We start from the raw sequence: 12,335 nt of genomic DNA on the forward strand, positions 1-12,335 counted from the left end.
TTCTGAGGAGATAAATATTAGAATCTCAAAGTATCCACTGCTAAAACCCAGAGAGAAGGGGTTGGGATGCAAGTTGGAAAAACTGGGAAAGTATTAACTTCTGGACTTATCTTCCCCCTCTGGCTTCTCTCATCTCTCTCAGTCTGTCTGTCTGTGTCTCTCTCTATCTTCCTTCCTCTTTCTAAAAGAAGACCTTTGAAAGAGTTTTATGTATATGCAGAATCAAATTTCTCTCATCTCTTCTTCTCTCTTCAGTGCACTCTGTTTAGGCTTCTGTTGTCATCTCTCCACCAAAACTGTTTTAGTCAACATCGTCGATGACCTCAATGCCACTAACACCAAAGTTCTAGTTTCAAGCTTTGTCTAACTCAACTCTAGCAGCATGAAACACAACTTATTACTCTCTACTCCTTGAAGCATTGTCTTGTCTTCCAGGAATATACACTGCCAGTGTTCCTTCTCTTATTGCCTGCTCTTTTTCAAGGTTCCTTGCTGGCTCCTCTTTTTCTTTCTGACAAATAGAAGTATTTCATGGCTCAGGCCTTGAAACTCTTCCCTTATCCATCTAACTATCCATTCACACTCACTTTCTTCATGAGTTCATTTAGTCTTGTGATAACTTCTAAATACATAACTTTAGTCTCAGCCTCTTTCCTGAGATATAGACTCAGAGATCCAGCTGACTACCTGATGTCTCCACTTGAATGTTCAATGGCCATCTCAAAGTCAACATGTCCAGAACCAAGCTTCTATATTCAATCCAGCCTCCCCAAATTTGCTTCTGCTCAGCCTGCCGCAACTCAGTGGATGGTGATACCATTGATCCAGTCAGGACTAGGACAAGAGTGAAGTAAGCCAACCACTTAGGCACAAACTTTAAGGCATTCAGAGCACCAAGGAAGTGCTGACCTTGCTTTTGCATGGCTATGCAAGGGCCTCCTTAAATTGTATGCCCTCAACATCTCACTTGGCTCACCCTAGTACCAGCCCTGCTTCTTCTTGCTCAAGCCAAAAACTTCAGCATCATCCTTTATGCCTCTGTTTCTCTCACTGTCTCTTCCAATCTACCAGGATATCCTATTGGCTCTACCTTCATTAATATTAAAGTGTTTGATCCAGTTATTAAAGAAATAATTAGATATATCAAAAGTAATGGAGGAGTTATTATAAAAATATAATTCTTGTCCTAAAGAAGAAAAACCAAAAGTCTGCTCTTATTTTCACAAAGGCAGGGAACTAATAGAAGATAGACATACTGTTTCAAGGTGTTTAAAAAAATTAATAGACTTTGATTTTTAGACCAGTTTTAGGTTTTCAGAAAATGTGAGCAAAATATATGGTGTTCCTGTATACTCTCTTCCCCCACCAGCCTCTGGTTTTTCCTATTGTTAACATTTTGTGTTGGTGTGGCGCATTTGTTACAACTGATGAACCAATATTCATGCATTATGATTAACTAACATCCACAGTTTATATTAGGATTTAGTCCCTGTGTTGTACGGTTCTATGGGCTTTGCTAAATGCATTATATCATATATTTCCCATAACAGTATCTTAAAGAATAATTTCACTGCCCTAACAATCTTCAGGGGCTTATTTCCCCTTAGCTAGCAGTGACGTCTTTAGGTACAAGTACACACCACCTATAACAACTTAATTTATTGCCTTCTAGGCAAGCCAGGGCAGGGACTGAGGACAGTGACAATGTCACCTATCTTCCATTCAGGAGCCTGTGTTTGGTGCAGAGCCCAGGGTTCCTAGGTCCAGCCTATATGCTCCAACGGTGGTTTCCTACACTCAAAGACAATGAACTTGCAGACACATCACAAATGCCCGGTGCTCTGCAAAGCTGTCCTGATTCCTCCTAGCAACATGAGTTGCCACATTTTCTTTACTCTAAGATGTCAGGCACATGATCATGGTATTCATCAGGCTGTCTGATCCTCTGATTATATGTCAGTCTCCCAGACTAGATCAGGGGCTTTTCAAGGGCAGAAGCTCCGTCTTAGTCATCTGTGTCTTCCTCAGGGCCTGTACTTGCCATTTGTTGATAATATGAAAAGAGTTGGGGTTGTGAGGGGGAGGAAGAAGGATAGTGGAATGAATAAAGGGAAAAGAGGGAAAGAAAAAAGACAGGGAGATAGGGAAGGTGTTTGTGCCCATGCCCTCGGTCATAGGTCACTATGGGTGGGCACAGGTGTTCAGCACCAGAATGACAGGAAGATGAGCAAGAGAGGGCATCTCTGAGTCAGGGCTGGTGCATTTCTCACACCCAACAATCCAGCTACATCACTGACGAATCTGGGATGTTGTACTTTTCCCCACCAGCAGCCCTAGTTGCACATGACAGGCTATCGCCTGCTATTGCACTGACTTCATATAGTCCTAGGACCTCAGGGTTAATGAGTTCTCAGTTACATGGAACAGCTTTGTTTGATAGGTTACTCTAGTTTTATATGTAAGAAAACTTGGCGTTCTTATATTATTTAATATATTGATTTGCTACATTGTATAAAAAGACAAATAAATGAGACTTCTTTAAACTGTCTTAGAAGAAGTCTCAAGTCTCCTGTGGCTCTCAAACCTCAGTGCGGACAGGCACTTCACGACATTTGTTGTCCATAGTGTACTTGTTTGGACAGTTTCTCAATTTCCAAACAGCAGTGATGTTTTTTGCAACAAATAAATTACAAAACAAAATATTTCACGTTTTGTCCTCCCTCTGATAGAAATCTTTGTGGTCCTAAACAATTAAAGCTCCTTAGTTTAAATTGGAAGTATTATTTTATTTTATTTATTTTATTTTTTTTTTAATTGATCATTCTTGGGTGTTTCTCGCAGAGGGGGATTTGGCAGGGTCACAGGACAATAGTGGAGGGAAGGTCAGCAGATAAACAAGTGAACAAAGGTCTCTGGTTTTCCTAGGCAGAGGACCCTGCGGCCTTCCGCAGTGTTTGTGTCCCTGGGTACTTGAGATTAGGGAGTGGTGATGACTCTTAAGGAGCATGCTGCCTTCAAGCATCTGTTTAACAAAGCACATCTTGCACCGCCCTTAATCCATTCAACCCTGAGTGGACACAGCACATGTTTCAGAGAGCACAGGGTTGGGGGTAAGGTCACAGATCAACAGGATCCCAAGGCAGAAGAATTTTTCTTAGTACAGAACAAAATGAAAAGTCTCCCACGTCTACCTCTTTCTACACAGACACGGCAACCATCCGATTTCTCAATCTTTTCCTCACCCTTCCCCCCTTTCTATTCCACAAAACCGCCATTGTCATCATGGCTCGTTCTCAATGAGCTGTTGGGTACACCTCCCAGACGGGGTGTTGGCCGGGCAGAGGGGCTCCTCACTTCCCAGTAGGGGCGGCCGGGCAGAGGCACCCCTCACCTCCCGGACGGGGAGGCTGGCTGGCCGGGGGGCTGACCCCCCCACCTCCCTGCCGGACAAGGTGGCTGCCGGGCAGAGACGTTCCTCACTTCCCAGACGGGGTGGCTCCTGGGCGGAGGGGCTTCTCACTTCTCAGACGGGGTGGCTGCCGGGCGGAGGGGCTCCTCACTTCTCAGACGGGGCGGTTGCCAGGCAGAGGGTCTCCTCACTTCTCAGACGGGGCGGCCGGGCAGAGACGCTCCTCACATCCCGGACGGGGTGGCAGGGCAGAGGTGCTCCCCACATCTCAGACGATGGGCGGCTGGGCAGAGACGCTCCTCACTTCCCAGATGGGATGGCGGCCGGGCAGAGACGCTCCTCACTTTCCAGACTGGGCAGCCAGGCAGAGAGGCTCCTCACATCCCAGACGATGGGCGGCCGGGCAGAGACGCTCCTCACTTCCCAGACGGGGTGGCGGCCGGGCAGAGGCTGCAATCTCGGCACTTTGGGAGGCCAAGGCAGGCAGCTGGGAGGTGGAGGTTGTAGCGAGCCGAGATCACGGCACCTCGGGAGGCCGAGGCTGGTGGATCACTCGCGGTTAGGAGCTGGAGACCAGCCCAGCCAACACAGCGAAACCCCGTCTCCACCAAAAAAATACGAAAACCAGTCAGGCGTGGCGGCGCACGCCTGCAATCGCAGGCAGTCAGCAGGCTGAGGCAGGAGAATCAGGCAGCAGTACCGTACAGCTTCAGCTCGGCATCAGAGGGAGACCGTGGGGAGAGGGAGAGGAAGAGGGAGAGGGCTAAATTGGAAGTATTATTAAGGAAAGTTGAAATTTTATGAAAGTGATTAAATTGAAGATTCAAAAATGTGTCTACATTTGGGAATATTGATTATGACTTTAATGTTAACTTTTTTGATCTGATACCATTTCCAAAAATTTAGCCTACAGAAATACTAAAACATATGTGCAGTTATAGGTTAAAAGAATATGATGAAATTATTTGCAGTAGGACAAAATTTAAAACAATTCAAATGGTTTTAAAAGGGGATTAAATAACTATATTTAATGATGAGTAAGTAGTAGGTTAAAAAACGAATTATTCTGAATAATAAGAAAAATAAAGATTCTAAGATACGTATTCAGTGAAGAAAGTTTCAGGATCACATGTTTGCTATTATTTCATTTTTGCAAAACAAACAAGAATAAAACCAAAAGCTACACAGGCACGCGTGCACGCACACCCACACACAGCGCAAGACACTTGTGAATTGAAGGGGGTAATGTTAATATTCACACAGGAACCATCAGCATGATATAAGAGTGTCAAGAAAACCAGGATCTATAACCACCTTAATTTAAAGGACTTTATATTCTGTATTATACCTTACTATCTATAAGAATAAAATTAAATTTTCCATACTTAAAGTATCTATAAAAAAAATTGAGTAAATTGTAATCTTGGATCTCAAGTCCAGTTCCTTTAGTTCTCTCAGAACTATCTCCCTTCATTTCAAAGTTCATGGATTGATTTTTGGTTTTCCTAAAATGTACCACTGTATTTTAAATTTACACATCACCAGGGCATTCTTTTTTCTTGTTCTCTTATTATTAGAACATACATTTAACCCCTTCTGACAATCTAGTCATTGTAAACCTCCCAGCTTTATCAACTGTCATCTTCCAAGTACTCACAGTGCAGATTTCTGGTATTACAATGGCCTTAAATTTTTTCCTTTGGATTTTTTTGAAAATAAATTACGGTGTCTATTTACATGGATAAAGAGTGACCACTGTCTTTGGCTGGTTCCTGTTGATAATGAGGTCAAGGCAGGGGCCTTCACTGAATTCCCACATGTGCTTGGTTGCAAGCCACACTCAGGTGACAGACAGTCTTGCAGTTGGTGCTGCTGGTCACATGAAGACTGGGAAAGAAAGTGCATCAGATCAAAATAAACTTATTTCTCTTGCAAAAAATAACAACTCGAGGCACATGCATTATGAATATTGGGTCAGAAGCATTATCTTCATATTCAAAGACTAGCATATAATTATCAAGAACAGAAATGTAAAGAACATAAACAGCTTGATGATAGAATTGGTACACGTTTATTATTAGAAATTCTATTTGAAATCCAGAGAAGAGTAACTGAACGGAGAAAAACACAGATATTAGATGACAAAGCATATGAGAAAATTTCAACTTTTTTTTCCAATTGAATTTAACAATGTTTTACTCCATAGTTGACTGATTGATTTGCCTCTGCCGGGATGTAAATTCTCAGAGATATTCTTTCTGCCATTGTGCCAATCTGTGACACAGCTAGCCTAGGATTTATATGCAGTGCTTGTCAATATCCTTCAGAAATGCCCAGCAGAACACAGGCACATACATTCTCCTTCAGCAAACACTCATGGAATGTGAAATCAGACTTCTACTGGTACTGACTCATCTGGAGGGCTTGTTATGAGGCCTCATTCAGTATGAGGCAAAGGTTGTGAAGTTTGCATTTAAGTTTTTAAAAAGCTATGTATAAAAAGTGGCCACCATGATGATTAAACACATTATATTGTACCCTTATAAAATTTGAACAAAAACCACAAACTTCAATGACAATAAGTAATTGGTCTTACTTGGTCTGCTCATTCTGAAAAAACTGAGTCTTGTCCTATGCAGCAGGGCTGGAACAGTTGCAACATGCATCAGTTGGAAAATGTTTAGAAGCTAATGGATAGCATTGGTTTACATTTCATATAAGACAGAGTAAATTAAGGACACATTTCTAGTATCTTCAGATATTCAAACAAGTAAATATTTCATATATCTCAGTTTGCTCCATTGCCAAACACATTTTCATTTTGATAAAAATGTCGCAAAAATGCCTTAATAATGTGTGCTTTGGTGAGGGAAATTTGGAAATAATGAACGTGAGCTAATCCTCTCTCTTTGTGACTGAAGGGTCCTCACATGAAATCATCACCTTTGGAGCTGTGCTTTTATAATGTGATGCTCACTGGATTTTTGAGATATAATGCCTGTCCCTAAACTGAATTGCCCCAAACTGCTTTATAGTTGTTGATTTCCCTGCCAGTGTCCTCTCCTTCACTCTTATTTTGCATTTCAGTGTACCAAATTTACAATGTTTTTGTTGGTTTTGTTACCAACAGAAACATCAGGTGAATTAAAAGATACCGAGATAAGTTCTCATCAAACTAAAAAGTAAATGCAATTAGATGTTATTTTTGCCAGAGGGTGGGTGGGCAAATTTACCATAATGCATTGCATTAGTTGTCAGTATGGAGCATGCTTCAGCGTCATCTGGAAGGCTTGTTAAAATGCAGGTTGTTGGGTTCCACCCCAGAGCTTCTGATTCAGCAGATCTTGGGTGAGGCCTGAGAATGTGCATTTCTAGCAGTTTTCCAGTGGATGCTGCCCATCTGAGGACTACACATTGAGAGCTACTTGCTGCAGAGAAAAGTGGAATGGGGACAGTTTAAAGAATCAGTAAGAGTTTAAGGTTTCAGGAAATGTTTGGAAGTCTGCAAGTAGAAAAAGGGGAATGTTAATTTTCTCTTCACATATTGGGCATTACATTTATGGAACTCTAACACAAAGAGGGAGAGCTGTGGGAAAAAATCAAGGGATTTGTCTGAAATGATAGATTAGAGTTACATGTTAGTTCACAAAATGATTTTGGGAAGATATTTTAAATAATTCCAACACTACAAACTGATACCACATCGGGCAACCTCGCTCTCCAAAATCCTCTCATGTTGCTTTTGCAGTAGGCTGGCCTGGATGGAGCATTGGTTGGACCCCATGTGGCATTCCTAATGTCTCTATATTCTAACCCATTGGTTGCCAATAAAGTGCTTTGCCAACAGATTTTGTTCTGAGATAGTGCACAGCGCTGAAGAGAAAATAACTTTGCAAATCCAGTGATTTCATGGGCCACTAGGCTCTCTGGATTCTCTAATACCCAGTTTATCTTTTGTTCATTTAATGCATCGCAAACAACATTGAATTAGTTTGTTGGACGATTAGGTAAGACATTAAACTAACGATATACATATAAATATGTCAAGTCATTATTTTAAGAGTACATCTGTAAGTCATAGTTGGAGAAGGCTTTTTCTTGTGAACCCTGTAAAGGCTTTTCCCCACAACTCTAATTGTTCAACAGGTACCAACTTTTATAAATAATACTTCTTTTTCAGAGGTGTTCACAAGTGAGAAAAAGAATTTTCTATAATGGATGTTTAAAAAAATCAGTTCCAAGGAAATTAATTCTTGTAAACCTCCCAAAATAAACATCAGGAAATTAAATTGGTGTTGGTTTGTTAGTAGAATGAACATCCCCAAAGAAATCCAAGATTGCAAATGTTTAGCTCAGACCTAGTTTCTAGTCTCTGAAAGAACCTTCCTTCCTGAGCTATGACCACCTACAGCCTTCCTGCAGCTTCACCATTGCCTTGACTTTCAGCACGAATCCTGCAATGATGCTAAGGAGATTTACGTGACTACGTGTCTGCCAGCTGTGGTTTCATCATTTTTCTTTGTCTCTGAGCTAATGCAGAGACAATACCCTGGGTCTGGTAAGTGGATCTCAGTCTGTTCCTTAGTCTCCTCTCCCGGCACCCAAGTCTGATTTCTGAGCTTCAGCTTGATCCTTTTTTGTTACCTGTCATTGTCCTCAGGAAGGGGTTCCCCAGTCCTGGATCCTGGACCATTGTCTTGGACCCTCCTCTGAAATGACAAATATTCCTAATTCCAATTTGCTATCTTTCTTGTAAGGATAAATTGTCTTGTACTGCATCCGTCTGTTTGGACAGGTCAACACTTCATTTGCCACCCTTCGTGGATATCTACTTACCTGCACTACAACCTGCTATCACTCGATCTTGTTGGACACACTACTGTAGTCTTGCTTTACATCTGTGATGGAATCCATCCATCCGGATCCTATGCAGTAATAGAGCCTTTTCTCAAATCCCAGCCCTTTCTCATCTGAGCTACATGACAATAAGTAATTGCTCTTACTTGGTCTGTTCATTCTGAAAAAACTGAGTCCTTACTGAGTGGAGTTTCATAAGGACTGAGTTCTTATGGAACCATGTTATGCATGGGAGTGATGGACATGAACAAGGTACAATTTCTCTCTTGAAGAAACTCACTCTTTTTTTTTTTTTTTTTTTTTTTTTTTTTGAGACAGAGTTTCACTCTCTCACCCAGGCTGGAGTGCAGTGACATAATCTTGGCTCACGGCAACCTCTGTCTCCTGGGCTCAAGCGATTCTCCTGCCTCAGCCTCCTGAGTAGCTGGGATTACAAAATTAGCCTGCCACCATGCCAGACTAAGTTTTTTTTAACTTAGTAGAGACAGGGTTTTGCCATATTGGCCAGGTGGGTCTCCAGCTCCTCGAGTGATCCACCCACCTCAGCCTCCCAAAGTGCTGGGAGTACAGGCATGAGCCACCACACCTGGCTCATTTTTGATGACAGAGCAAACAAGCAAACAATTGAAATGCAGGTTGAGTATTCCTTATCCAAAATTCTTGGGACAAGATGCGTATTGGATTTTTAAAAAATTTTTCAACATTTGCATTAAACTTACCGGTTGACACCCCAAATTCAAAAATTTGAAATCTAAAAAGCTTTAATGAGCATTTCCTTTTGAGTATAACCTTTGAACATTATGTCAGCATTCAAAAAGTGTGAATTTCAGATTTTTGGATTAGGAATGCTAAACCTATACAATACTTTAACCATACATTCTGAGAACCTTTCTCAAAAGTGTATAGTAGAAGAGGTCAGACAATCGTCCTCCATAAACATTCATTCTATCATTTGCTCAAACCCCACTGTGTTTCAGGCATTTTGTTAATGTATCGGGAATGGACCCAGAGGGCCTTTCTGAGAATTGTGAGTTAGACCCAGGTACTCACCCAGGGCCAGATCATCCTTGACCTTTTGCCTTCAAATACCAATGATAATTTGTCTTGTGGTCCTAAGAAGTTAATCGGAGCTGCTTATAATAGACAGCCTCTGAAACTGTCTTCTCTCCCCGGTAGCCCCAGATGGTCTACCCTGGACCCTGATGACATTAGGTTGGGGGATTGTAAGTGCAGTCACTTTGTTGCCAGGTCCACTTTCTTTCCAGAACCTCTGAATCAAATGTCAGCCTGTTTTCATTGTTCCCTACCTGATTAGCTGGAGCTGGATATACTGAAGGAATGAAAGTTTTCTGAGCTGACTGCACTGATAAACCTAGAAGGAGACCATAGTGATAAATGCTTCATAATTTTCAGAAGTCAGCATTAACTGCTGAGTAGCAGAGTGGACTTAAATTTGTGTTTTCAGTGGAAATGATCACCGTGATGTCCTTACTGCCTCCTAACTCATGAAAGGAACAACTGGCTGGTCCCTGGAACTCCCTGCGTGACTGGTGATTGCCCATGGACTTCTAAAACACTCTTTACTCTGAGATGTGAATGTTGCCCACGGCCTTCAGCTGGTGGATGATATCTGGGCCTGAGATGACAGTATCAGGTATTTCTGAAGACATCCTAGGGAAATGTGAGGATTGCCATGGTGCCTCTGAGCTTACCTTTAGAACAGACACTTTGATAAGTGCTTTTGCTTCTTTCTCTGAATTCTAAATCAGCCCTAGAATGCTGGATGATAATTCTGAAACAAGCCCTACCCAGTCGATTTTCCTGAAGTTTCATGAGGCTTTTGAAGAGTGGTGACAGTTGTGGGACTAAAATAAGGGAGGAAGGCCGAAGTGAGGAGAGCACTCAGAGACAGTGGGTGGACAGACATCATCCAGAGACTTGCAGAAAATAGGACCAAAGCCATGGCCCCCGACAGGAGTGGCAATCCTAAGTGCAGTTTTAGTTGCACTTTTGAGATAATGAAAGTACAAAATCAGTCACTTAACCTCTTTTAACATCAGTTTATTAATCTGCAAAACATTGACATGCTACCTCACAGCATTCTTCACATATAATAAGAAACAGCGTGTTAAAATACTAAACAAAGTTTAAGAAGTGATGCAAATATACTGTTAGGGTAGATTGTAGATTATAGTTCTATCACTTATCTCTTTCTTATTTTCTGAGAAGCTCTTAGGAACATTGATTTAATTATTTCTTTTCCCTCTTTATTTATGAGCGTACATGTCTTATTCAAGATTTAAAATATCACTTGGAAATTAACAAGGGGTTTCACAAATATAGTCGTATTCCTTATTTGTTCACAATATTTTGTCCCAAAATGTTGCTTTTAAAGAAATAAAAGAACTACTTCTAAAATTGTGGTAGAGTCAAGGCCGACTATTAACAAATGCTCACCAGCCAACAGAAGAAATCTATCCTGCAATATGAGTGACTTTCCCAGTGTACCATGATAGTTCCTTAAAGCTGTTATGAATTATTCCATAAACCTGTATTTAGAGACTTTTTTTTTCAAATATCTTTTTAATGACTTAAACACCAGTGCAGAGACTTGCGATGTAAACAGCCTCATTTCTCTGCTCTGTGCTTTGGGAGGGACAGGGACGCCATTTCCCTCCTTGGCTGAGATAAAACCTGTCTTGTAAATTAATAAATAATTTCCTAACTAACACAGCAAAAAAAAAAAAAAAGAAAAAAAATCCAAACGAGACCTAGTTTCCATCCAGGGACAGGATGTTTCTGGACACCCCCGGTTGCTGCTCCTCCTAAGGGCCTGGCTGTGGCTACTGCAGGGAGGATGTAGTGAGAATGGCTTCCCTTCTGCTGTTTGCTGCTGTCTACACCGGCCAAGAACCTGCTCCCGTCTGCCCGGGCTGATGGAGTCTCACTCTTGAGAAAAATCTTGCTGGGGCAGGTCCTCTGGCAGCCCCAGCACCTTACCCTGAGTCATGGGAACTTGAGACTTTGTCCAAACCTTGGCTGGAAGGCTGGTCTTGGCACTCAACGTCTTAGCTAGTGGATTTTTCACATTAAGACTGTACCTGGGCCTTTTTCATGATGACTTGGGTCCCAATCCTCGGAGCAGCTGAAAAAAGAGCTAGCGCCACCTGTGGATGCACCCACAATGAAATCAGAGGCCACGTGAGGTTTGCAAGGTGGAGTGGCCTGTAGTTTTAACTCAGGCACTATGGCAATGCAGACCCAAACCAATTGTGCCAGTTCTTGCTGGGTGGCAAAGTGTTGTCAGGCTTTGTGGTCACTCCTGATTTCTGTTTGGAAGCACAGTTCTCTTTCCAATGAGAATGGAAAATTGGAAAGGCCTGTAAAAGGCCGTAGAGTGGAGATGTATAAAAATGTATGGTCACCCATGTTTTAGGGGTCGACACCATGGACTTTTATCTCGCTCACCAACTTCCTCACACATACAGCTCACTCCCTGTGGCCTCAGCCATCTCAGGCACTACAAAATCCTCACTGCTTGAAATTCACTTATGGAGTCCAACAAACAACTTTCTTTAAAAAAAAAAAAGGCAGTAAAATCTCAGAATTTCTGTGCAATGCTTGCAACCTTCCCACTTATTAAATAAACAGAACACCAAACTAACCAAAAGCTATGCAAGTGGCAGGCTGCCCTGAGCAGAGCCCTGCCTGTCTGCCAGGGACTACGGTGGCACAGGAGCAGGTCGTGATCATGCTGGAAGAAATGAGAGGTGGTTTCATTCCCTGACTTTCAAACTCTCATCTCGGGAGCCCCCAGTCCTAACACTGTATTCAGCCGCTGGAGTTACCTGGCCATGTAAAAGGACAAGGGAAGGCAGACCATCCTCAACTTCTTCCTGTGTTTCTAGCAGGGAAGGAAAGCAATGGCTTTAGTCCCTCCGCCTCTAGGTAACAAGGCAAAGGCCTCCGTAACCCAGGCAGACAGGATGTGGGGAAGGTCTTGTGACTTTTCCTAACTCAGAATTTCTGAGTCAGTGGGCTCCCGGAGAAAGACTGTCCTCTTGGCATG

Source organism: Homo sapiens, chromosome 18, assembly GCF_000001405.40.
Source record: "Homo sapiens chromosome 18, GRCh38.p14 Primary Assembly".
Taxonomy (NCBI): domain Eukaryota; kingdom Metazoa; phylum Chordata; class Mammalia; order Primates; family Hominidae; genus Homo; species Homo sapiens.